The sequence below is a fragment of the Homo sapiens genome, chromosome 5, assembly GCF_000001405.40.
Source record: "Homo sapiens chromosome 5, GRCh38.p14 Primary Assembly".
Lineage (NCBI taxonomy): Eukaryota > Metazoa > Chordata > Mammalia > Primates > Hominidae > Homo > Homo sapiens.
Window position 1 is genome coordinate 180,799,278 of NC_000005.10, and position 25,848 is coordinate 180,825,125.

Consider the following 25,848-nt stretch of genomic DNA (forward strand, 5'->3'; position numbering starts at 1 on the left):
TGGCCTCAGCAGGCTGCTTTTTCCCCAGTAAGCATATACCTGGACGCTGCTGTGTCTCTGCTCCAGCTGGTCCCTCATCCTGGAATTTGACCCACAGCGCCACCTGCCAGCCACCCACACATCCTTTCAGGCCACTTCAGGTGACTCCTTCTGTAACATCACAGACAGAGCCAGGCCTCCCTATGACTACACTCCCACAGCACTCTCTCCACGCTGTAACAGAATCTGTGGCCACGCTGACCTGACTCCCACCTTCCTCCTTAGGAAAAAAGACTCTATGACCTCTGTGCCCACCACAGTGCTTGGCACATGTATGAGGTTCAAGTGGCTGGATGGAAGACTGCTTGCACTATTACCGAAATCAGGGAGAAAGATGGCCAACGCAGCAGCAAGAGAGTGAAGTGTGACATTTTCCAGAGATGACCGCACATATCCCATTCCATATGCTCTTCTTACAAGTGATAAAGACACTCCTGCCTCCAGAGCTGAGGGTCTATGTTCCCTCCCTTTGGTTCTGGGAAGAGATGCTATGTGACTTGTGAGACTAACTCATAAAAGGCAGTAGTTTCCACCTGGTCCTCTTAAGATGCTGACTCCTAGGACCCTGCTATATGGACAGGACACTGCTACATGGACAGGACCCCCATAGGTATTCCAACTGACCACCCCAGCTAAGGTCCCAGCTGACAGCCAGCATCAACCGCTAGACACAGGAGACAGCCCTCCAGATTATCCCAGCCCCAGCTGACTGCAATGGCGTGAAAGACCACAAGCAAGAACCACATAGCTGAGATGTTAATAAAATGATTCTGTTGTTGTAAGCCACTAAGTTCTGGGGTGACTCATTATGCAGCCATCAGTACCTGAAGCAATGAGAGAAACAGACTCTAGATAATCTTGACAAGCAGGGCAAGTGCCCTCCCTGCCCTCTGTGCTCAGCTCCAAGTCCAAACACTGAGGCCCTGTCTCCACTCATGTCTCCTTCCTTAGTAGGTATCTACTCCTGCATAATAAATTACCTCGATATTTAGTGGCTTAAAACAATAGTTATCACTTACTCCTCACAGTTTCTATTGGTCAGAAATGTGGACAGTGCAGCACAGAGGAGATGACGTGTCTCTGCTCCACTATGCCTGAGGCCTTGCTGAAAGACTCAAAAGCTGAGGGCCAGATGCCCCTAGAGGCTCTCACATTCTCTCACATGTCTGTAGGATGATGTTGGCAGCAGCTGAGACCTTATCAGCAGGAGTGCTCACTAGAACCCCTCTATGTGGCCTGGAAATGTCCTGGAAGTGGTGGCTGCATTCCAAAGGTGAGTGTTCCAAGAAAGCGGGCAAGCCAGGTGAAAGTGTATCCTGTTCCTGATTCAGCCTTGGATCAGGTCTGTCTTACTCACTGGTCAAGGGAACCACAAGTCCCTATTGACATGCAAGGGGAGAGAATCATAAACCCCACCACTAGGTGGGAAGTGGACAATGTCAAACTATAACTACATGTGGAAGGGGATACTTACGGGTGAGGCCCTTGAGGGAAAATACAATCTGCTACACCTTCCTTTTTAAATAGAACAACTGCCCTTAATCCTGACCTGAGTTCCTAATGATGTCATTTATGAGACTGGCATGCAAGGCACAGACTCAAAACTGGCTTTGACTTTCTAGAGTTTTCACAACTCCTTTAGGGAGGTGACACAGCCAATCCACACCACCAGGTACAAAGACATCTGCACCATGGTGGGAGATGAGAAGTGAGTCTTTTCAGTACAAAACCCTTCAGCTAAAACCGAGGTGGCTCTGGGTAGGCGCCACCTGCCCCTATGGGGCTCACTCAGTTTCTGAAGCATTTGAAGGACTGCCTAGGAGCTGTGAGATCCTTTCTAACACTCTGATACCATGGTGTTCTCCAGCCTATTTCCTTTATCTGGCAAAAAATGTTTCTTAAATAGCAAGTGAACACCAGATAGTCAACTTCCAATCATGAGCAATAAGCGAGAAGTTATATTTAGCTGTAAAATTAAGTACAGAAGTGGAAGAAATGGTAACAGATTTTCCCTTCTATCTCTGCTTTGCTTAAAGTTAAAAAGCACTACGTAAAAATTCCAGAAAATATAGACATGTCACAGGTAATGGAACTCTAACTGAACTGCTTTCATGTTCGTTCTTAGACCTTGGCTGGACTCCTGTATCATGTACCAGGCCCATAATTTCAGGACGGAAAAAAAAGAAAGGTAGTCAGAGAAGATACACTAAATAATTCAAGAGTTGAGAGAATAAGACCTAGGAGGGAAGGGATGCAGGTTATTCATCCTGGAAAAGAAGAGCTAAATACAAGTGCCACAAAAGGCATGAGGCCTGGGATTCAGGCGATCCAGCCAGCAAGCCAGGCAACTTTGGACAAGTCACTTGACCCACTTGTACCTTAGTTCTCTCATCTATAAGGTGACAGGGTTGATTTGGTTCATCACAAGGTCCCACTGCCTGGATACTGACGACAGTGACAATTTCCCTACTGCCCCGAACAGTAATGAGTTTCCCTTGTTAACACAGGCCACTGAGGTCAGGCATACCGCAGTGCTTCTAACAGTGAGAATGAGACACAGAAGCAGGGAAATGGGTGAGCTCAATGGTCCCCAGAATTGGGAAGGACCAGGACGCAGTGATTGCTGATGGAAGGCAGATCCTGGATGATGTGAGCACGTAAGAGCAAAGGCTACACGGCCTGAAAAAATACCGTAAATGACTGAAAATAAAGCTGGGCAACATCTCAGCCAGTGATGTTCTAAAACAAAACGGCAGACCCACTACAGCAGCAAGGGTTAACCAAAGTGAAGCTTCAGCCTTCAGGGAGCCGGCCAGCCACAGTCCCTCTACTTCAGAGTTTATCAGACGCGGGCACTGCACGTCCCGGGGCTCTCTACTCCACACACGTTAGCAAACAGGAAGAAAAGTTTTCTTGCCAACTTATTATATATATATTTCAACACTGAATCAACATTTCCTTTCTGCTGAGGAGAATCAGCCTCTATTAACTTGGGGAAAGGATGCTGGAGTGAGGTTAGGGGGGAAAGGCCACTCCCCAATCCCACCCCCTCCCTGCCCCGCACGCACGGACGCCCGGGGCCGAGTTTCACAACATCCTCCCCAGTCCGCGGAGCCCGCCCTTCCTCTAACAGCTGGAGGCCCGGGATTCCGAAAGCAGAAGGCGGAGTTCCAACCTCTCGGCTCGGGAAGGGACTAACGCGCAGCTGGCACCGGGTCGGACCGGGCCGCTCCCCAGCCAAGCCCCCTCTCGCTAGCACTCATGGGCACCGGGGCTTTGGGGCGACCCGACGTCCCTTGGGCTCCCTCTCGGCGCCCGCGAGGCCTCCCCCGGTCTGACCTCCGTCCCCGGACACCTACTCACCAGGTCCTCCCGACGTCCTGGCCCCGAACTTGGCCTGCTCCGGGGCGCAGGGAGCGAGCCCGGTGCCCAGGCGCGTCCCAAGCGCTGCCGCGGCCGCCTCGCCTTTCGACTCGCCAGCCCTTTCTGCGGCGCGCCGGGGCCGGACGGCCGGGCGGGCAACGTGGCCCTTCCCCGGCAGGCGGGGCGGGGCGGGGCGGACTGAGGGGCGTGACCGACAGCCCCGCCGCGCCCCGCCCCCCGGCCGGCGTCCGCCAGGCCCCCTCCTCCTGGCCCGCCTCCTTTCCCCGCCGCTTCTCAGTCAACCCAGGACCCAAGTTTTCCCAGGACCCCAACTTCGGGAGTCGGCTTTCCGGCTCCCTGGCGCAACCCTGAGGGTGGACGCCCGACCCCACCCCTGCCCTCGGCCCTCCAGCGCAGCTGCCCAGCCTGGAGCCGCGCCTGAAGTGGGCCCGCAGTCCAGGAAAGGCGTTCACCAAACCCTAGGCCAAGGGCTGGGAGCCAGTCCCCCCACCCCAACCCAGGGGAGGCTGAGGAGCCCGGGTGGGAGCCCCAGGGTCGCGTGGGGCAGGGACAGAACAGGAACCAGGGTGCCCGACGGGGGGCCGGGGGGAAACACCTGTGCCAAAGCAAGCCGGGGCCAGCTGTGGCTTCTTCCCTTTTGTTTTTCCTTGGTGGGTGGGGAATGAGAGCTTCAGTTCTGAGTAAAGAAAGCGAAGAGAGACCTACCAGCAGGGGAGGCCCACCAGCCCTAGGCGGGAAGGACTCGGTCACAAGCTTTGGCGGAAGCACCATGGAAAAGCCTAGAACGGGTCTGCGCCCGGCTGGTGTTTTAAAGGGGAGGAAGGTGCGGACCTGAAGAGGAGGTGGAGGTGGACCCAGGCCCACCGAGGGGAGGGAGGGACAGCTCTTCCATAGCAAATACCTGTCGCTGAGCCAGGAGTAAAGTCTGGCCGGGAGGAGGACAGACGCAGAAGACCAGGGGCTCCAGCGCACAGAGCCAGTTTCGCCAGCGATCAGGTCTGAGGCCTGGATTCCACGAGGCCGGTGCAAGCCAGGAGCCAGCCCCACTCCCTCGCCCAGCTCCCTCCGGCCTGGCCCTCTGCAGAAGCCTGATGCCCACCCAGCTGTCTCACCATGGGACCCCAGGCGGTGAGGGTGGGTAGCCGAGGACTACAGGCTGCTGGGTAGCTGACTTCCCCAAGAAGGGCTGCTGCCATGTGATCAGGACCCACGCCCCTGACATCAACCCCTCCCCCGTGTTCCAGAGCACGGAGCAGCCCGGAACTCTGCGGCCTGTGGTTACTGACTGACTGCTCACTAACTTGTTTCTACATGAAACCACGAATCGTGCAGGGTTCTAGAGAAACAAAGGGCCGCGCGCACCCGCAGGCCCCTGCGTGGAGGCGAGGACCTAAATCAAAACTGCTAAGGGGTCACCAGGCATGGTGAGGGGCCTCACGGGCCAAACCCTCCCTCGGCCTGTCCTTCAAGCCTCAGCAGCTCTGCGGAGTGAGCGTTATCATCCCCATTCTACAGATAACTAGTTTGAGGCTCAGGGTAAGTGCAAACGTGCTGCAAGCCACCAGACCTGGTGGGGAGCATAGCCAGGTTTTAGACCGGGCACTCCTGTGCGCCCCCCAACACCCCCGCACACATCCTCCAGCGCCAGTGCTTTGAGAGGGCTCTGTCTCCTCTCAGGCGCTGCCGTGAAGCCTCCGCTTAAGTGGCCAGAGCCCAGACCTGGAGGTGGAGTGGGAGAAGGGCAGGCCCACCGAGGCCGCCGTGTGCAGTGTGCGATGTGCGGGAAGCCCGTGGCTTCCACTTTAGCTGACTGCGCGCACTGTGGCAGGAGCCTCGAACCCAGGCGGATATGCCAGTCAGAGGCCAGTGTCTGTCACCTCTGCCCTATGTTTGCCTAATGGAGGAGTCAGGGGCCTGGGGGCTCTGCACACTCACACTAGGTGTCAAGGCGTAAAGGAAAAAACAATTGTGTTTCCTAAAAGTGAAAAGGCTGGGAAACACTGGTTTGTAGATCCAAGACATGAGGAGCCAAAATCACCTTCCAGGAGAAAGGACAGACATCAGGGGGTGCTGAAAGGTGGGGGAAGATCAGATTCCCACCACTGACCCTGATACTTCTCCATCTAAGGCAGGTGAAGGGGAAACAGGATGGCGGCTGTTCGTGCACTGTAACGCACACCCCATCTCTACCACCCTTGGCTGAAATCCCAAGGCTCACAGGAAGATCCAAAAGGAGAAATTCCCGGACTGCAAGAGACCATCCCAAAAAGAAAGGGCCTGGTTAGGGAATCAGAATGGGCTTCATGGAGGCAAAAGCAAGCACTTGGTCTGAGAGGCAAGAAACCAGGGTAAATGAGTGCCAAACTGACCTGGGGAAAAGAGGCTCTGAGCTCTTGATAGAGGTTACATGGGGAGCAGTGACTGGAGTAAGAAGGATAGAAACAAGGGGCCAGGATTCTGGGGGTGGGCCTGGGATTGGATTATGTGCAAAAGGAAAAAACAGGAGGATAAACAGTCACAAGATTAGACCAGATTATCCAGGAGGATAAACAGTCACAAGATTAGGCAGAGGAACAATACTCTCCCCTGCCCACTCCACCACTGACAAAAGAGAACTGAAAAGATGAAAAGGAAGTGAAAACTGTTCCAGGAAACTGCCCTCCCATAAACCATGCCCAAGATCCCTGACACTTTTTACAATTTGGAAAGAATTCATGCCCTTAAATTAAAACATATGTTGGCTTGAAAACATCAGTAAAAGTAAAAGCAGGCTGGGCGCAGTGGCTCACGCCTGTAATCCCAGCACTTTAGGAGACCAACGCAGGCGGATCACGAGGTCAGGAGTTTGAGACCAGCCTGGCCAACATAGTGAAACATCGTCTCTACTAAAAATACAAAAATTAGCCAAGTGTGGTGGCATGCACCTGTAGTCCCAGCTACTCGGGAGGCTGAGGCAGGAGAATTGCTTGAACCTGGGAAGCGGAGGTTGCAGTGAGCAGAGACCATGCCACTGCACTCCAGCCTGGGTGACAGAGTGAGATTCCATCTCAAAAAAAAAAAGTAAAAGCAAATTTTTTAAATCAGTGTTTTGTTTCCCTTCTCCCTGCCTCCTAATATCTCTGCTTGCCCCTCTCCCTCACCCCACAATGGAGACCCAGAAATTCATCTCATCCAGGTCAAAGAGGAAAGATTAACATAATAATCACTAAACAATGTCTGTGAAATGTAACTTTTGGTTAGCCACCTACAATTCTTTTTGGAATAAAGAAGGATATAAATAATTAATTGAGTTAAAATACACACACGGCCGGGCACCGTGGCTCATGCCTATAATCCCAGCACTTTGGGAAGCTAAGGCAGACAGATCACAAGGTCAGGAGATTGAGACCATCCTGGCCAACATGGTGAAACCTCATCTCTACTAAAATACAAAAAATTAGCCGGGCGTGGTGGCGTGTGCCTGTAGTCCCAGCTACTTGGGAGGCTGAGGCAGGGGAATAGCTTGAACCCAGGAGGTGGAGGTTTCAGTGAGCCGAGATCGCACCACTGCACTCCAGCCTGGCGACAGAGCAAGACTCTGTCTCAAAAAAAAAATGCACACACAGTCTGGTTAAGTCTATCACTGCTCCTGGCTAAGTAGCCTGACACCTGCTGAGTGCTATGCCTTGGCATCCTGGTGCCCATGTGAAAAAGCCAATGGTTGTCTTGAAGGGACTGTCTCATGGAAGGGTCAGGTGCAGGGCAGGAGGGTGGGAAGGTCAGGGAGAGGAATGCTTGCTCACTCTAAGGAGGAAACGTTCTACCAGAGAGGCTGTCTGGCAGGGCACAGAGCTTCTCTCCCTGGAGGTTTGCAGCAGAACCCAGATGGCCTGGTCAGGTCAGATGCTGTGGAAACAGCACAGCACTGGGAGGTGATTTCAGTGCCTACCGCTCTACCCTTAGGCAAACCCTTCCCACTCAGGGCTTCCGTAGCTTCCCCTCAAACTGGGAAAAGAATCCCTGCTCTGTTCTCCTCACAACAAAGTGGTGAGGGAAAACAGACAAAACAGATTGACTGGATCACGTGATAGAAGCATTACGCAAATACGCAACTCCCTGGTACCTGGGATACCAGAGATGGCTGAGGAGGCACCGTGGCATCACGTATCCCCGAGGGATCACTGTGACCCCTGTGTCTAAGCAAAGACTGGCAACAGAAATTTGCTGGGTGAAGCTGGGGAAGGTGGTACACCCATCTTGAGACCCACACCTTATAAAGGAGCAGCCTGGCCTCAAAGGGGCTGCCCCAGGCACCAGACCAGAGGAGAAAGTACAGCTCGGGAGCAGCAGCTCCACCCAGGCCACTGCCCACCTCTCAAGCCGCTGGAGGGAGTGAGGAAAACTCCTGTGGCAAAAAAGGAAAGACTGGGGAAGGGGATGGAAGAAAAAAATTTAACATGGAAAGTAAGGCATAAGTACAGGATTTTCAGTTTGCAGATGACCTCACTGTCACCCATCCTCAAGGAACATGTGAGGCCTAGGTGTTACTGAGCTAGGGAGAGGCAGAGACATGCCAGAAGCCAGGCCTCCTGCCCTTTGCCCAGGCCACCATACCCTACTGTCTCTCAAAATTCCCAACACTGTGCTCTACCCCTCCTTTCTGCTGTGTGTTGTCCCTGGGAAAAGCAGGCATCTTGGCACAGGTAAATTGGAATTGAAGGAGGGAGCAGACAGGAAGTGAGAAGATAAAGACAAACAGGGCTGCTTTTATAGGGAATACAGCCTGAGAAAATACAAAGGGCGAAGAGATGTCTGGAAAAAAACGTCATCTTAAGGAGCGGGAGAGATAACTAGCATATGGCACAGGAAGGTAAAGACCACCACTCACTCCAAGAAAAGTGCCTAGCCAGACACCTGCCCTCAAGGCTTAAGCATCCTTCCACCCCCTCTTTAATCAGCTACCTCAAAGGGGCACACTGAAATTGGACTGGAGAGCCATAAGGGCCAATGCAGTATCTGCAAGACTCCTTCAATCCAAGTTCTCCTTGGATCTATTCACCTGTTCTACAACTTGATGATCCCAAGTACTGTTTACCAACAAGATGATGAAACACATTCAGGGGCAGGCTTTTCACTAAGGACATCTTCTTAGGCTGTTGCCAGCACACTATTTCAAGAAGAAAACAGAACTCCTGACTCAGAGTTGTTTCTGTGCTTTTAAGGCACGTAGAGCAACATCGATGTTATTGTTTCCTGTGTACACGGCCCTGGATACTTTTCAAAATCCTTGTTTCATTTGCTCCTCGTAACAACTTGTAAGGGACCTGGAAAGTCAGTTTTCCCCCATTTTGTAGGTGAAGAGAACATGGCCTGTGTAGGGTTGTACACTGACTCAAAAAGTCAAAGCTAGAACACAAGTACTCCTTCCTGACCCCCAAACCTGTGTTCTGTTCCTCTGCTCTTTTCCCGAGCTTTCATGGGCTAAGCTCCCCTTATAGAAGTAGGAAGGGAGACAACTTAGGAGGTTATCTAGACCATTCCCGCCTTCTCCCCCCACCAGCAGTCCTTTTCAGTTAGCTCCCCAAAACAGAGCAGCTGCCTCTGCCTAGGTAATCCATTCCAGTCTTAACCCAGACTGACTTGGAATCCTATTATCTCAGTGTTGGAAGGGCCTTTAAAGGTAATCTAATCCAACCTCCCTTCAGAAGTCTTCAATTATTATCATGTTCTCCTTGGCCTAACCTCACAACTGCCATTGCTCACAATCCCTTACAAGGCACTCATCCAGCTTGGGTAAGGGGAAGTTGGGAACAAGTCTATACCTGGACAGAGTAATGGAGAGGTGTAGCTTCCAGTGTACTCATCTGGATAAGATTTCCTGAATAGTAGCCTCCGCGAACTCGCCAGCTCAACACCTTCTGCACAGGCACAGCAAGACATTAAGTGGGAAATGAGACAGGAGCCTTACCTTTCTTCTCTTGTCTCAGTTGCTCTCCAGGAGATCATCAAATCCCCATTCAGCACTCCATTTTCAAAACTGAGAATCCCAAATCAGATCCACCAAAGTGCAGCTTCTCTCTTCTTATCCAGGTCCAAAGTCCATGGCTGAGCTGACCCTGACGGGGAGGAGTCTGGGGGGGAAGGGGTGTGTCCAGGCCCCTCCCCCCCCACTGCAGACTTCAGTGCCCCTCTCAGGGGTCCGTTACCTCCCTTCATTCAGCTGCCTTATTAAGCTCAGAGTCTGGTGATGGACAGATCCCAGATACTATCCCATCTCTTGCTCAGGCAGGGGAAGTTATCCACTGTGAGAACTGGCCCATCTGTCTTGTGCTGGGGCTCATGAGAAGAAACAGGCCTTAGAAGCGGCATGGCCCAGGAGGCAGATTTCTGTGTTAACCTGCAGAACATTTAAACATTATAACGCTCTCTAATCTAGATACCCAAATAGAGTCCTAAAACCTTCTAGTTTCCACTCCCCACCTAAGAGTCCATACTAGGCTCTATCATCAAAACACCTTCGTTAAACACTCCGCAAGGTTATACAAAGCACCTACTTAACTCACGTATCACACGCCAGAACACAGTCACCTCATCAATAGTGTTTACATATATAAACACATATAATATAAACATATTATATGTATGTACAAACATACATGATTCAGGATAAAAGATGGATCGTACCCGTTCTCACCACAGAAAAGTAACCGGAGACTCTTCTAAGAAATCGAGAAAAGAACGCCCTTTCTCCTGCCCTCCTGTCTAAAGCGCAACATAATAATCGAATCTCCCAAGCTTCTTAGGGTGCTGAGTGTTTTAATCCACCAGCCCTCTTCAACTAGTTAATAAATCCTTTCCAGACCGAGATGCTGGCATCTTCCACTTGCATTCTTTGCTCCTTTAACTAAGCTCCCCCTCTGCTTGCAAAACTGTGCCAGAGATGTAATTCCCAACCTCTGTTAAAGTCCTTCCCGGGGCTACTCCCGAGAACACTCTCCTGGAATGTTTAAGGCCCAAGTCCTGCTTGCAGCAGCCCCACAGTGTTCCCATTTCTCAGCCCGAAAACCCACCCCTGTTGCCCCCTCCCCTCCAAGTTTATTCGTAAACACACACACATCCATTCTCTCTCTCAACACACATCCATCCACACACACTCTCTCTCTCCTTTCCTTCCTGTAGGGGCGTGGCGTCCACATGACCTCCACCCCCTCCAAGAATTTAACTCCTCCCACCCTTCTCCCCGGAACCCCGTGCCCCGTGTTCACAAGAGAAGAGGGTGACACTGCGACCCTTCCTGGACTCTGACCCCCACCCGTCCGCCCTGCGGACGACCCTCGCTCTAACTGCGCCGGGTCGTTACCTGGTTCCCGCCCGCCCCGTCTCGGCTAGGAGCCGCGGCCCGCCGCGGGTCGCAATCCAGGCCCCAGGCCCGATCCCCAGCGCTGGCCCAGGCCCCACCCCCTCGACCCCCAGCGGCCCGGCCCTCCCCTCGCACTCCTTCCCCCCTCCCACCATCCACCGCAGCCACTTCCGCCCGTCCTCCGGAAGTGGGCCCCGGCAACGCAGCGTTCCACATCCCGCCCATTTTTCTACCCAACGTCCCCAGCCCGTCACCACCGCCACCACGGGAGCGAGGGAGGTGGGTCTGCAGGGCCTGAGACTGTTCTACAGCCACTGTTCACAGGGCTGAAGAACAGGTGTGGGCAGAACCAGGTTGTGAGAAGGAAGCCGGGCGCAGAGTAGCGGCCGTACAGGAGGGGGAGGGGCAGAAGAGACTGGCCAGCAGCGGAAGCGCGCGGCAGGTGGAGCCGCGCGGGAAGAAGCACGCATGCGTCGCGGGGGGGTTGGCCCTTGGGGTGCTGGGCGGAGCTTGGGAGGGGCGAGGACGCTGAAGTAGGGGCGGAACCTGTGCGGTGCAGCCCTGCCCTCTCCCTCCGCCCAAAGGTCGCCCAGCGACGGCCTGCTTGACCTGGTTTCTCAAAAAGGGTGACCCCCCCCCTCCGCCCCACGCTGGTCGCGGGTCCTGGCGAGAAGCCTTTCGGAAAGCACCGGGGCCTGTGTGTTCCCGCTTCCTCGGACGCGAGCTCTGTGTAGCCGTGGTGGAGGAAGGTTTTGTTTCGTTCATCGCTGCTGTTTCTCGCTGCCTCTCTTGACGAGGCAGGGCCCTTGCAGGGTGCGCCCGCGCTGCCCTCTGACAGGTGCTGTTGGTACCTGCGGCCGGGCCCGCCGTCGCCGGCGCGTGAACGGCCTGCCCGAGGCTGCCGGGAGGAGGGCTGCCTGGCCGGCGCGGCCCTTCCCGTCGTGCCCCGGGCTCCTCGGAAGCAGCCTCCCGCTCCTTCAGACGTCGGACTCCTGAGTTTCGAACCTGCCCCGCGGTTTCCCCCTCACGCTGAATCCAGGGGAGCCGCTACTCGTTTTTGAAGTTCCTATGCAGCCCTCTCCCGACATGTTCGAGAATCTTGCCGGACTGGGGATGGATTTGCAGCCTCCGTGTTTGCCCCCACGGTTCGAAAACCGGAATCTAGGCCCGGTCTCCTGGCCTGTGTTCTGTCGTGGGATTTCTCCAGAGCACGGACTGACTTAACATTTCCATTACTGGGAATGTAATGGTTGCTGCGTCAGGACTCTGGAGATGATTTTTTTATTTGGAACGATATAATTTTTGGAATTTCCTTAAAGGGAAAAATACATATTGCTTAATTATATTGCTTGGGATATATTATTGCAAGGAAGAAGAAAATAAGACCCTTTCTTCCCCCACCTTCAAACCTTCTCCGCCCACCTGTCTTTCCCATGGGCATTAATGGCGGCTCCATTTACTCAGGCCAGAACCAGAAGAGCCAGCTTCACTCTCTCACCCCCTCTACACAATCTGACTAGAAATCCTGTTGACCCTACCTTCAATCTGTGTCTAGGATGCAACACCTCAACATGTCCACACCCCCCTTCATCCCTCACCTGAACACCTAGGTCTCCCTGCCCTCCCTACCCTCCCAGTCGCTGGGTTTCCGTACAGCAGCCACAGGGATCCTGTCGTTTCTGTGCTCCAAACTGCACAGCGGCTCCTCAGTTTACTTGAAATAAAACGCCAAAGTCCTTACAATGGCTGCAGAGCCGGACAACCCACTGGCCTGCCTAGCTGTCTGACCTGCTCTCCCCTTCCTCTGTTAGCTGCATTGGCCTCTGCACCGGCTGTTGTCTATTTGTAAAACACCCCTTCCAGGCATTTCCAGGACTGAACCCTTCAGCTCTTTCAAATCTTTCCTCCCATGTCACCTCAGTGAGGCCTTTCCTGACCAACCTGTTTAAACCTGCCCCTGACCCAGAGCACTGCTAGTCTCCCTTGGCCTGCTCCACTTTTCCCAGGACGCTCACCACTTCCTGAAATACTCGCCGGGTTTACCATGTATTGTCTGTCTCCCACTACTAGAATTTAAGTTCCCTGAGTGGAGGCACATTTGATTTTTGATTGCTATATCCCGGTGGCTGCAACAGTTGGCTGGCCCATGGTAGCAGCTCAGCACACATTTGTGGAATAAATGAACCAATGAATGAACTTGAAAAGCTACTTTCACCGCAGAGTATTCCCCTTCGGGCTTCTCTCACATGGAAATATATGAACATAGGTATAAGCACAGTATACAGATTTTGCATTATGATTTCTAATCATACCATAGAGACTTTACATATTTCTAAGTATTTTCATAATTATAACCATTTTTACTTAAGTGACCTTCGATTTTTCGTGCTTGTTATAACAAGTCATACAGAGTTGTGTAAATAAAAATTTGTCTCCTGTCCCCCTCTCATCCCACCCTGCTGAAAGGAACCACTTTTAAACTAGTGGATATCTTTCCAAATATTTTTTATACACACGCACACACACACAGGCACACACACACACACATACATAACAGGTACAAATTTCACAGTCCAAAGACAGATATTCCTGAATTGTAACTTTATTTTCTATAATTCGAGTCAATTTGTATTTTAGGTCTTTCCTCCCATAGTAGAAAAATGAAATCTAGTTTATTTAAGGTAAATGTTAGTATGTAATGATGTTTATTTATTAATGAGCAATTACAATTTAATTTCAGTTGCTTCAGAATTTACTAATGCCCTTCTCTCCTTTTCACCATATAATTGCCGGTTTTAAAAAATTATTAAAAAATATGCAATAATTACAGGAAAATATAAATGATAAAATAAAAAAGCAAAAACCACCTGTAAAACCAGCAGCTAGAAATAAGTTTATGAAAAATATACTTCTATGGCATTTTTAATGACCAAGTGGCATACTATTATACAAATGTACCATAATTATCTCCCCTATTTTTGTACATTTGGGTTGTTTTCAACTTTTCACTTTTGCAAAATTACTTGTAGCTAAATCTGTGTGCACGTCATTTTTTTTTTTTTTAGGATAAAGTCTGGGAACTCGTGTCGAAAGGTGTGCTCATTGTTGAAGGCGTTTGTTTGATATGAAAGATACACAGAAAGATGGCACAGCTTTGACACCAACTTTTCTCCACACCCTGCACTGTCACACCATTTTTTGTCATCTTTGTTAATATGATAGAACGATGGTTTTGCATTGTTGTTTTAAGTTTTATTCCACTAATTGCTAGTAATGTTGAACCTGTTTTTATGCATCACTTTTGCAGATTGCCTACAGCATATCTTTTGCCCACTTGGATTCATCTTTGTCTTATTCATTTGCAAGAACTCTTTATAGAATATCAGCCCTTTGTTACCTATGTTACAGCAATTTTCCCAGTTTGTCATTTGCTTTTTAAGTCTGTTTATGTGCTCTTTTGACATTGCAGTAGTCACCGCTAGCTGGGCCAAAAGTCTGGTCTTGCTGTACATACTGCCTTCAGAATAAACACTTAGGAGTAAGCTAGAGATTTTTGTTATCAGTTACTCCACCTAGAGGACCAGCAGGTGGAGTCTCCATGGGCAGAGTCTCGCGGACTGTCATTTGGTGTGGGGTGGCCAAGAGGGACTGAACATCTGGAGAACATGGTTGTCGGGCTCTTTATACCAGTGGACCCCTCTTTCCTATGGAAGCCTCGCATCTCCATCAGAAGCAGCAGTAAAATGGCCTCTGCTGTCTTCTGCCTTTCAAGTCTAACTCAAGGGCACCTGAGTAGGTGAACCTAATTGCAAGGGAGTTAGATATGTAACCTATTCAACTAGAAAGAAGGTAGCCAGAGGGGCTACCTACAGTCCCCACCAAACTTATGTATCAGGGCTTCCCATCCTGGCTGTTGAATTACCTATTCTGGCAGCTGTTCCAGTCAATACAGCTGATAGTAAATTTTAATAACTGGCAGTAAAAGTCTTCCCCAGTAACCCTGATTTTCAATGTTTTGTTGGCCATTTTCACACATTTTTTCAGGTGTATATTTTTTCACACTATTTGTTCAGATGATCATTGTAATTCATTTCAGAAACTAGATATCTCTTGTAATTTCCTGGGCTTCTCCTTACCCTGGCGAGTATTCTTTGTACCGATTTTAGTCTGAAGTCTGGTAGGTACAAAAGTTAGTTTGTGTATTTGCTATTTGTTAGGTGCCCTTCATCCTGGTATTTAAAATTCTGGCCCATAAAGAAACAACCACACTCACTTGTTCCCTCAATCTTATTGTGCCTCTTGGCAGCTTCTGACATTGTCAACCGCTCCCTTCTTCTGACACACTTCTCTTGACTCCCACGCCAGCACGCTCTCTGGGGTTCCCCCTCCTCTGGCTGCTCCTCCTCAGCATCCTAGCAGGCTTCTCCCTTTTCTCTCTTTACCCACCACTTGCTGTACAAATGCGGAGTTCCCTAGGGCTCTTTCCTGGGCCCTTGTGTCTTCTCATTTTACACTTTCTTTCGAGATGATCCCACAGAAGTCACATGGCTTCCAGTATCCACTCCATGTCAAAGATACTTAGTCTGTTTCTATTGCTTATGACAGAATATCTGAAACTGGGGTCGGGTGCAGTGGCTCACGCTTGTAATCTCAGCACTTTGGGAGGCTGAGGCGGGTGGGTCATGAGGTCAGGAGTTGAAGACCAACCTGACCAAGATGGTGAAACCCCATCCCTACTAAAAATATAAAAATTAGCCAGGCGTGGTGGCAGGTGCCTGTAATCCCAGCTACCCCAGAGGCTGAGGCAGGAGAATCGCTTGAACCCGGGGGGGCGGTGGTTGCAGTGAGCTGAGATCGCGCCACTGCACTCCAGCCTAGGCGACAGAGTGAGACTCTGTCTCAAAAAAAAAAAAAAATTAAAAATTAAAAACAAGGAATATCTGAAACTGGGTAATTTATAAGGAAAGGGAATTTATTTCTTACAGCTCTGGAGGCTGAGAAGTCCAAAGTTGAGGGGCTGCATTTGGTGAGAGCCCTCTTGATGGTAGGAACTCTCTGCAGAGTCCTGAGGGGTTCAGGGCATGACATGGCAGGGGGACTGAGCGTGCTAAGGTGCTAGCGCAGGTCTCTCTTCCTCTCTTATAAAGCCGCCAGTTCTCCCATGATGAATCCATTCATTAGTGGGAATAGAGCCTTCATGATCCAATCACCTCTTAAAGGCCCCACCTCTCCATGCTGCCACTCTGGGGATTAAGTTTCAACATAAGTTTTGGAGGGAACACCCAAATATGCATGCTCAAGTCCCTTCTCTGTGCTCCAGGCCCACATGTCCAATTCCCTGCTTGCCCTCCCAACTCAGTCCCCTCACAGATACCTCTGACTCACGTGTCCAAAGTGAAATTTGCAGTGCTCCTCCCAGCTCCTCTCTCAGCAGTCCCGTTCTCAGGAAATGGCAGGCCAGAAGTCTTCCACAACATTCCCACATCCAGTCAGTCAAAAGCCTCCGAAAGCTTGTCTCCCGGTTATTTCGTGGCTCTTTTCCTCCACCCTCTCCTTTGACCTGGCCAATACCCTCCTGAAACTCCTTCCTCTTTTACGTCTCTTTTCATGTGTGATTCATTAGATCCACTAAGTTCCACCCCTAGAAGGAGAGGGTGGACTTTCCTGCAACACTGAAGACAAATTTCCCTCTTCCCCTTTTTCATGTTCCCTGTGACTTTTTAAATTAAAAAAAAAAATTCTTTTTTGTTTTGGCCCTGAGTTGCACTGTAAATACAGGACTGAAGATGACGTGACAAACCCAGACATCGCCATGCCTAAGGCGTAGAGCTGAAGACTTTTTATGTGTCATAAGGAATTCTAGCAAAACCCAGAATATTCAGCAGGAACATGGAATGGAGTTGGGGTGGAAGATACAGAAATTTCAGTTCCATTCAATCATGGGGTAACAGTTACCTAAGTCCCCTAAAAAATCACAGCACTTTCTCGCCTCATTTTACAATGAAGGATGTCTGGTCTTGCCTTATTTATTCCTTGTATGGTTATTTTAATTACGTTTATTTTGGAGCCGGGTGCGGTGGCTCATGCCTGTAATCCCAGCACTTTGGGAGGCCGAGGCAGACGGATCACCTGAGGTCAGAAGTTTGAGACCAGCCTGGCCAATATGGTAAAACCCCATCTCTACTAACAATACAAAAATCAGCCGGGCGTGGTGGCGCATACCTGTAATCCCAGCTAGTAGGGAGGCTGAGGCAGGAGAATCGCTTGAACCTGGGAGGCGGAGGTTGCAGTGAGTCGAGTACGTGCCACTGCACTCCAGCCTGGGTGACACAGCAAGACACCATCTCAAAAATAAATAAAAAAAAAATTTTTGAACATTTCTCCACAATTAGATATGAGCTTCTTAAGGACAAACATTCTGTTTACCTTAAAATAATCATATATTTCTATATTAGTGCAATTCAATGAATATTTATGGGTGGGCTCAGATCCTGGCTCCTCTCATTTCCGTGGACTCCAGGGATCCAGTTTCCTCTTCATAAAGCGAGGATAATGAAATCTGTCCTTCACCCCTGGCAAGGCACTCATGAGGATCAGGTGAAACCATGTGTGTGGGAACCCTTTTAAAACCGCAAAGAGCTGCATAAACATCTGAGGGCTTTAGGTTCGCAGATACAATCGGAAGGCGCCTGGCGCTGCTGGGCATTGAGCTTCCAGGGGGCACTTGGTGGAGAGCCCTGCACTCCCCTCCCTGAGGAAGCAGTTCCCATAGTTCCCGTTTCCCACCTGGCCTCTCCTTTTCAGGGCTCCTAAAGAGTGATCTTCACAGAGAAAGCCAGTCTGTTTAAACGATATTGTAAGTTCTGAATATCACCAGGTCTATTTTTTAAGTCTGAATTTACATTTAAATCAGGAGCATTTGTCCAGGCCAGTAATTTTTCAGCCCAGCTCCTCCAGACGGTGTGTGTCCATTACCAGTGAGAATTTGAAACCTTCCTGACGCCAGGAGGCTGAGGTTTTCCTGCACTGGGCCTCCACTTGTGTGTGGAAGGGGAGGGGCGGCAGGGAGGCAGGAAGAGGGGTATGGAGGGAGAAGGGTGGGAGAGGAAGGTCAAGGAAGCACAGTTATAAATAGAAGCGTCTTTTGCCTTCAAGATATTTCAGGTCACATGGAGAAAGGAAATTCACTCTTAAGAAATAACAAAGAAACAAAAGACTGAAGTCAATTCAGAAGTGCTGACACAAAGACCGGTTTGGAGGCAGTAAAATTAATCAGGATTGCCTCCTGGGAGTAGGTGGGTCACCACAAGGTCTTGAAAGCAACCAGGGGAAAAAGGAACTCCTGGTTTGGGGATCATAAATCTCTCTTCAAGAACAACCAAACTCCAGTATGAGTATTTACGCTCCTTATCATCTAAGCTGGGTCTGAGGTCAGGAGCTTGGATTCTGGTCTTCATTCCAGGGTCCAGCTCATCACAGACCCTGAGCAAATTCTTTACTCATCTCCTTGTGCAGGAACAGTTGAAAAGTACTTTGGGGAAAACCAGTTTTAACTATTACTCCCAAACCTTAATTAGAACTGTATAATTCTTTATCTTTTGTGAAATGAGTTTTAAACTAGAACAACCATTGTAATTATTAGAAACATTTTAAATAATTGTCAGTAATAATCTTCATTCGTCATAAAAAGGGAAACACATCTATTAATCTTTCAAAGCACAGTTCTCTGATCTTTTTCCAGGTGTATGATTCACTCTTTTCTACCTTATTTTGTGACAAAATGTGGTCTGTACGAGGCCCCCACTCAGTATCAACACAGGACGCCTTCCAAAACAATGCAAGAATGTAGGTTCAAGACTGTTTCACGCCCCAGCAAGCACTCATTAGGTGGCATTCAAGGCAAGTTTAAAAAAAAGGGGGGGCGGGCACAAACTTCTGGGGGTTAATAATTTAGTACCGTGCCTGCCACTACCCAGTTGTCGCTGGTTTGTGGCAATCACAGCTGCGTTGTGTCACACCACTGATTAATTCCTAGGAACTGCTAAGGGCTGACCTTTTCAGATGACTGACCTGCCTAAATAAATCAAACCCATTTGAGGTCATGTCTGTGGGCACAGCAAGCTGACTTGCCTTCTCGAGTGGGTGAAAAACAATTGGCATTTCAGTGAGGAACTGGATGTAATACATGAAATGGCTCAGATCTACTCAGCTGGAACCCAGGTGAGGAGAATATTCTGAGTAAAAAAATCATGATTTGTTGTTTTCTGGGCTTTGGCACTATACAGAACACCACAGGCAGTTTGTTCCAGGGTAGAGGTCAGGGATGGCTGGCCTGAGGGACACACAGACCCCAGACTCATCTCCCTCTCTCAGCCAGGGCGGTAGCTCTCCCTTCACCTCCTGATGTCCTCGGACTTTATTCCCAGCTCAAATGCCACGCTCCTCGAAAGTGCAGTACGCTGTCAGGATGAGCTTTCGTTGCCCTACGTTGGAATTCACTGTGGCACAGCTGTCCCTGGCTTTCCTCCTTTTCCTATTTCTCAGTCCCACAGCAGTGTCTTGAGAGGACTTGGGTGGATGTGCAGCAGCTGCAGGGATGAAGTAGACAGGAGCAGCCATGGAAGAAACTCAGGTTTCAGTGAAGCACTATGAGGAGGTCCTCCCAGGGAGGCTGTGGAATCAAAATGTTAAAAGGGGTAGAAAAAAAGCGAGCTACAAGATGAAGATTTTGCCTACCACGTTTTGAGAAAATTTAAAAAGATAAGCGATACAGTGAATGAGACAGGACTTTCGGCTAAAATCGGAGTAAAATTTGTAGATTCCAGTAAACCAAATCCCTAGAGAAGAGTCCCAGCCAAGACAATGTTAGAAACTTGGTTGCAAATTGTACAAGTTTGAACTGAGAAGGCCAAGTTTGTGGGTTAATGGAAAAGAGAAAAATAGGCATCCCAAGAAGGATACATTGTTTTCCCATTAAAGAAGCAAGGAAATACACTTTGAAAAGTAAGTATGGGAAAGAATGAGGTTAGGGCTACACAGAGATGCCATGGCACACTGGTTATCTCCCTTGGGTTCAAATGCCAACTGTACCACAATGCTGTGTGCCCACGGGCAAATTCTTAACCTCTCTGTGCCTGTTTCCCCACCTGCCACATGGAAGATTTATAATGGCCACCTCATGGTTTTATGAAAGTTGGAAGAGTTGTCAGCCATGGTGTCTGGCACATAGTACTGTTATATTATTTTATTATATAACAATTTATATTATTATTTTATTATATTATATATTATAAATTATATATTATATTATATATTGTATATAATTATATAATATATAATATAATTATATATTATATATTATATATATTTTATATATTATAATTATATATTATAATTACCTATATTATATAATATATTATATAATTATGTTTTATATTATATTATATAGTATAATACAAATTATATGTTATATATAAAAAATAATAAAATTTGAAATATCTAGTGTCATTTATTTGGAATAAAAGAGGGAACTTTATGGATAACCTGATCAAATCCTCTGTGATTCCACAGATGAGGAAACACAATGTCATTATATGATTTTATTAATCATTCCAGACTCATTTTATTTTCTGGGTCACCGTTAAATGGCTTTCATTTACTTAAATCTTGTCTTCCAATATGATTCTTGAATGCAAGAACTTGTGTCTTAACTGTGTGCTCCTAACAGTGTTAGGCACACATAGCAGAACTTAAATACTGGTTAGATTTTTTTAAATACATAATTTCAAATTTATTCCAGTGGCAACCATTTCCACATTAACAATGATTAGGAGTTTTTTGTTGTTGTTTTTATTTTTTTATTTTATTTATTTTTATTTATTTATTTATTTTGAGATGGAGTGTTGCTCTGTGGCCCAGGCTGGAGTGCAGTGGTGCGATCTCGGCTCACTGCAAGCTCCGCCTCCCGGGTTCACGCCATTCTCCTGCCTCAGCCTCCCGAGTAGCTGGGACTACAGGTGCCCCCCAGCGCGCCCAGCTAATTTTTTGTATTTTTAGTAGAGACGGGGTTTCACCATGTTTGTCAGGATTGTCTCGATCTCCTGACCTCGTCATCTGCCCGCCTCGGCCTCCCAAAGTGCTGGGATTACAGGCGTGAGCCACCGCCTGCAATGTTTTTGTTAAATACCAGTTTGATTTGACTTTTTTTAAACTCTAATGCCAATTTAAAAGACCCAGATGGCCCTGGCAGAAGAGTCTGGATGAGCAAGTGTTAACAAAGGGTGATAAGGCCTCAGAAGGCATTGTGGCCAGGCAGAGAGAGAGAGGAGAGAACCAGTGAAGAAAGACTCGGTTCTTTGGAAGGAGGCCCTGCAAGGCCCTGGAGCCCAGCCCACGGTCCTGGTTGCCAAAGACTTGGAGAAGTCTTGTCCAGGAGGTGACGTTCATCCTTGCCTCTAGCCAAAGGTTAAAGGAACAGCCTGAACAGGAGGAAGGCAGGGAAGAGTGCAGCGCTTCATGATAACATCGGTGTGCGAGCAATTCCACACAATAACTGACCTTCTGTTGAGGGATGGGGTGTAGGGTGGGAAAAAGAAGAATAACAGGAAAAACCAAGCCCAAAGGTCCTGATCCTGAGGGGATGGACAGACCTGGCCTATGTGGGGCAGAGAGTGGGCTTTGATGGAAAGGCAAGAGTCTGGTAGGCGGGTGGGGTAGGGTGGGGATCAGAGTGTATTGCCTGAATTTAGTCTCATAAAACTTGTGTGTGTGTGTACACTGGCTGATGGTCCTCCTGAACTGTAGTCACAGTCCAGAATGCCTGAAGCACCTGATATGATAATGAAACTCCCAGGGTGTTCTTTGTGAAAACGATGTTGGGTCAGCAGCCAGGTGTTAGTTTCACACTCACAGGTGAGGGAAAATCACTCTTCTGGAACCACCCTACCTTGTCACTGAGTCTACAGTCCCAGCATACAGACGGCAATGCTTCCTTTAATTTGGGGTTCCCAGTTTTAGTTGGTTGTAATCACTTTCTAAAAGCATACACTGGACACATTGTTGCCTGGAGTCTTAGGCAGTAAGTGATAATGTTGGGCAAGAGGCACTGTCCAAATGGCCATGTGATTTTTTTGTTTATTTCTTCCTTTAAAGGGAAGACTGAAATCCTTGAAGATTACTTGACGTAAGTCCTCAGAACCACCCCAAATGGTTTTGAAAGATTTATAACTTCTCTCATGTGCTCAGTATATGATGCTCTTACTTAGGAAGAGGAAGAAAAAATGTTTACAGTTTCACTTTGAGCTTTAAAAAATTCCTATAACAATTAGCTCTTGATTCAGAAATTATAAATAAAACTGTTTTATTTTCCAATTTACTGAAACATTGTGTCCTGTAATGTTTTAGTCTTCATTGGTCCAGGGATTTAATTTTAATCTTGCACTTTTTTGTAGAAAACAGCTTATGAATCTTAACTCTAAATATTTATTGTTCTGTACCAATTGTACTGATCTCTTATGTTGGAGATTTGCATTCATGCGTGGATGAAATGGATTTGCCATTCTTTATTAGTGGACAATAATGACTGACCACGGAATTGGGTATAAGTACAGGCTTTAAAGGCAGAGAAACCTACATTTGAAATGAACCCTGTTATACAGGAACACTATGACTCTGAAAGGCATATGAATACTTGGAGCCTCAATGTGCTTAGCTGTAAAATGGGAACAATCAGATTATCTACTTTACAGAGCTGTTGTGAGGCCTATATAAAGCCTTGCGTGGCTGAGATAGTGCTAGTAGTACCCACCAAATCCCCTCTCAGTTTCCTCTTCATGAACATAACACTACATTTGCCACCAGTTTGAGTCCATGTGACGGCTCTAGCCAATAAGCCACCATATAGATACATGTTGTAGGTGATGCAATTACAAGATAGAGGAGGGTTGTCCAATCCACAAAGGACCTTATGTGAGCAAGCGATCGGCCTTTTATTTGTAAAGCCACTGAAATTTGAGGTTTGTTTTTTTTTTTTTTTTGTGCTACGGGAGCATTGTCTAGCTTACCCTAATACATTGGACATATGATAAACAATTGATAAATTTTGGTATTGAAAGCCGGGCGCAGTGGCTCTTACCTGTAATCCCAGCACTTTGGGAGGCCGAGGCGGGCAGATCACCTGAGGTGGGTGTTCAAGACCAGCCTGACCAACATGGTGAAACCCCGTCTCTACTAAAAATACAAAAAATGAGTCGGGCATGGTGGTGGGCACCTGTAATCCCAGCTACTCGGGAAGCTGAGGCAGGAGAATTGCTTGAACCCAGGAGGTGGAGGTTGTAGTGAACCGAGATCGTGCCACTGCACTCCAGCCTGGGCAACACAGCAAGACTCCATCTAAAAAAAAAAAATTGGTATTTAAGGTGTCTGTGAACCAATGTGGAATGATGCCTTGAACATACATTATTAAGAGAGAGAAGCAAGACAGAACAGAGTGTATAGTGCGCCACATTTTGTGTAAGAAAGAAGGATAAATTAAAATGTATATATGTACTTGCTCATGTTTGCAAAAAGAAACACAGGAGAGGAAAAACCAGAAACGAATCAACTTGATGACCTATCCTTGTAGGGAGACTGGGGCAGGGTGGTGGGGATGTGCACAGGCGTGAGACTTCTCTGATCAAATGTTTTTACACAATGTTGATTTTTGAACCATTTATTCTCTATATATTCAGAAATAAAAGTAATTTATAAAGGAAAATGCCTTAAAATTGTACCTTAAGAGAAATAAATGACCAACTCTATATAAAATTGATCCAAACCAACAATAAACAAAAAGGTTAATTTGGGTAACTTGAACATATTACTCTGACTATATCTATATATCAATATTATTAGGAACTAGGAATTTTTCTGTATAAGAGGAAAAAGATAAAATATAAAAAAATAATGTAAACACTTATGTTAAATTTCAATAGCAATACAAACTCATACTATTTCATTATATATATATTTTTATTATATATATATTCATTACATATGTAAATAAAGCATCCTAGTTGTGTTCCTGAAAAAGCGTACGATGACACCCTAGTGGTAACGAACATAACTAACCCTCATATCTTGCATCTCCTGCTGTAATAAATGGTACAGGCAAGAATAATCAATGGATACTGAAACCATTACATAAACGTGGCAGGGCAATAGAATATTCCTACAGGGGCAAAGTACACCCCACAAATCATTCAGTAATTTAAAAGGAAAAAAATGTTGGATCCAATTTATACCCAGCCAGCACATCCATTTGACCCTGCCTGCCCCTGGGGACCCACTACCCTGATCCTAGGTAAAGCAGCTCCAGTGATGGCCGCAAAGTTCCAGCTTCCACCTTGTCACCTTACCTCCTATAATGACAGGCACCGCTGTCTTTGGCAAGGCCATGTCATTCCACCTGCCAGGGCAGGAGCTGCAGCAACTCCTGTGCCCAGGTCCAGCAGGAGCCCCGGGTGAACTGGCTTTCCCAGTGGCTGTGTCGAGGCAGCTAGCAACACAATCCTGAAGTACAAGTGCTTTACCACCACGTGAGCTTTGCCTTGTAGGACTCCTCTGAGGTGCAACGGAGCTACACAGCACCTCCAAAGATGTCTCACATAGCCAAGCGGCCAGCTGTGCTGTTTATCAAGCAGTGGCTAATTCAGCAGCAGACCATCTTGTAGTTTCCCCCTCAATTCATTTTTCCCCTTTCACAGCATTGCACCCCCACCCTGCAAAGCAATAGCATGTAAACTTTGCCTCAGTTGATGTTCCAGGCAAAGGTACCTTCTCATGGACATATAATAATTACTTTCTCAACAGGTCATCCCCCTGAGCATCGCTGCTGGCAAAAACCCAGTGTGAGGACCTCCTCATGGAATACCTGTAAAGTATTCTTTATAGCCAAATAAATAAATAAATAAAAGAAAAAAGTTTATTCAAACCTAAAACCTAACTTCCATTATAAGGGCTTAAAAGTAAAAGTTAAAGGACACCATCAGGAAACAATCGGGCAAGCCAGGGATGTGTGACCTTCTCTAAGACAGCTGGCCCAGATTCCTCAAGTCAATGTCGTAAATCAAAACCAAACAGAAGTTAAGGTGGGGGAGATTTTCCAGATTAGCCTCCAGATGGAATCCATAAGCCTTGATTAGCTCTCGGGGGAAACTGCATACAAACATTTAAGGTACAATTGCAAAAATTTTAAAATGACTTGGATATTAGTTGTGATTGTAGAATCATTGTTAAGTTTCCTAGGTATGATAGTGGTATTGCGGTTATACAGGAGATTTTCTTTATTCTTAGGAGATTCATATTGAAGCACTTACGGATCATGATGCCATACTGACAACTTATTTTCAAAAATGGTGTGTATCATGTGTTTGTGGGGAGACAGAGAGAGGAGAAAAACCAAATATGGTAAAACGTTAACAACCATTGAATCTAGATGAAAAGCATTTGTGGTTTCTTTTGACATTTTTCAGTGTTGAAAATTTTCATAATAGAAGGCAGACAGATAAATATCAGTAAAAAGCAGATAAAATTGAGGATATATTTGTATTTGAAGAGCTTTTTAAAGCCATGTTTTCTTTTCCTCAACCAGTTTCAAATAAGCAGCCAATACTTTATCAGGAACTAATTCATCCACCTCAGAATGGATATTCACACCCAAATTGCTGTGCTTTCAAAAGCTTTTTAACCTCTTGTTTGTTGCTAGCACTTTCCCAGTGGAAAGAATTTGATGCCATTTCCGCACACCCAAATTCCTGTTGGCAGGATAATCAGCAAGTAATACAGAGAGCTGCTTCCTTCAACAGCTGCATTCAGCACAAAACCGAGGGCCGATTATGTGGAGAAATATCCTTCAGAGGTAAGGCATCAGGTAAAGGCATCAGTGATCTTTTCCATGCATTCCAAATACTGTATTGGATCAAACTGGAGCAGCATCATTCTCTACAGCTGTGCTGGCAACAGACAGACACAAATGAACTATTTAATATGGCAAAATGCACAGCTGTTTGAGGCTTCTATTATTAGCACCAGTTCTCGACTCACTGGGA

General features: G+C 47.5%; 1 protein-coding gene across 37 annotated transcripts in view, besides 12 other annotated features; it reads right to left on the reverse strand.

The window, feature by feature from the left end:
• The window catches only part of MGAT1 (alpha-1,3-mannosyl-glycoprotein 2-beta-N-acetylglucosaminyltransferase), a 30,837-nt gene extending 14,498 nt beyond the window's left edge, over positions 1-16,339 (reverse strand). For 6 of the 37 annotated variants that reach the window (NR_157154.2, NM_002406.4, NM_001364393.2 and 3 more), the window contains exon 1: positions 3,403-3,529. The gene's annotated coding sequence lies outside the window, so the exon portion shown is untranslated. Of the gene's footprint in view, positions 1-3,398; positions 3,530-4,018; positions 4,626-9,224; positions 10,599-10,762; positions 10,861-10,914; positions 16,006-16,136 lie in introns of those variants that run through there. The other 31 variants (NR_157153.2, NM_001364386.2, NR_157152.2 and 28 more) reach the window with 28 other exon arrangements.
• Positions 2,841-3,548: an enhancer, noted in NCBI's record as "H3K27ac-H3K4me1 hESC enhancer chr5:180229118-180229825 (GRCh37/hg19 assembly coordinates)". NCBI's record gives its function as "activates a minimal SCP1, AML or CMV promoter by ChIP-STARR-seq in naive H9 embryonic stem cells {active_cell/tissue: H9 hESC(naive)}" and the evidence as "EXISTENCE:reporter gene assay evidence [ECO:0000049][PMID:30033119]".
• Positions 2,841-4,255: a biological region, named in NCBI's record as "H3K27ac-H3K4me1 hESC enhancers GRCh37_chr5:180229118-180229825 and GRCh37_chr5:180229826-180230532".
• Positions 3,359-3,718: a silencer, noted in NCBI's record as "silent region_16770". NCBI's record gives its function as "represses an Ori minimal core promoter by ATAC-STARR-seq in GM12878 lymphoblastoid cells {active_cell/tissue: GM12878}" and the evidence as "EXISTENCE:reporter gene assay evidence [ECO:0000049][PMID:35858748]".
• Positions 3,549-4,255: an enhancer, noted in NCBI's record as "H3K27ac-H3K4me1 hESC enhancer chr5:180229826-180230532 (GRCh37/hg19 assembly coordinates)". NCBI's record gives its function as "activates a minimal SCP1, AML or CMV promoter by ChIP-STARR-seq in primed H9 embryonic stem cells {active_cell/tissue: H9 hESC(primed)}" and the evidence as "EXISTENCE:reporter gene assay evidence [ECO:0000049][PMID:30033119]".
• Positions 3,889-3,968: a silencer, noted in NCBI's record as "silent region_16771". NCBI's record gives its function as "represses an Ori minimal core promoter by ATAC-STARR-seq in GM12878 lymphoblastoid cells {active_cell/tissue: GM12878}" and the evidence as "EXISTENCE:reporter gene assay evidence [ECO:0000049][PMID:35858748]".
• Positions 3,979-4,028: a silencer, noted in NCBI's record as "silent region_16772". NCBI's record gives its function as "represses an Ori minimal core promoter by ATAC-STARR-seq in GM12878 lymphoblastoid cells {active_cell/tissue: GM12878}" and the evidence as "EXISTENCE:reporter gene assay evidence [ECO:0000049][PMID:35858748]".
• Positions 4,399-4,508: an enhancer, noted in NCBI's record as "active region_23770". NCBI's record gives its function as "activates an Ori minimal core promoter by ATAC-STARR-seq in GM12878 lymphoblastoid cells {active_cell/tissue: GM12878}" and the evidence as "EXISTENCE:reporter gene assay evidence [ECO:0000049][PMID:35858748]".
• Positions 4,963-5,668: an enhancer, noted in NCBI's record as "H3K27ac-H3K4me1 hESC enhancer chr5:180231240-180231945 (GRCh37/hg19 assembly coordinates)". NCBI's record gives its function as "activates a minimal SCP1, AML or CMV promoter by ChIP-STARR-seq in naive and primed H9 embryonic stem cells {active_cell/tissue: H9 hESC(naive and primed)}" and the evidence as "EXISTENCE:reporter gene assay evidence [ECO:0000049][PMID:30033119]".
• Positions 10,855-10,904: a silencer, noted in NCBI's record as "silent region_16773". NCBI's record gives its function as "represses an Ori minimal core promoter by ATAC-STARR-seq in GM12878 lymphoblastoid cells {active_cell/tissue: GM12878}" and the evidence as "EXISTENCE:reporter gene assay evidence [ECO:0000049][PMID:35858748]".
• Positions 11,575-11,824: a silencer, noted in NCBI's record as "silent region_16774". NCBI's record gives its function as "represses an Ori minimal core promoter by ATAC-STARR-seq in GM12878 lymphoblastoid cells {active_cell/tissue: GM12878}" and the evidence as "EXISTENCE:reporter gene assay evidence [ECO:0000049][PMID:35858748]".
• Positions 15,059-15,318: an enhancer, noted in NCBI's record as "active region_23771". NCBI's record gives its function as "activates an Ori minimal core promoter by ATAC-STARR-seq in GM12878 lymphoblastoid cells {active_cell/tissue: GM12878}" and the evidence as "EXISTENCE:reporter gene assay evidence [ECO:0000049][PMID:35858748]".
• Positions 25,392-25,686: a silencer, noted in NCBI's record as "tiled region #14850; HepG2 Repressive non-DNase unmatched - State 23:Low, and K562 Repressive non-DNase unmatched - State 13:Ctcf". NCBI's record gives its function as "represses a minimal TATA promoter and a strong SV40 promoter by Sharpr-MPRA in HepG2 and K562 cells {active_cell/tissue: HepG2 | K562}" and the evidence as "EXISTENCE:reporter gene assay evidence [ECO:0000049][PMID:27701403]".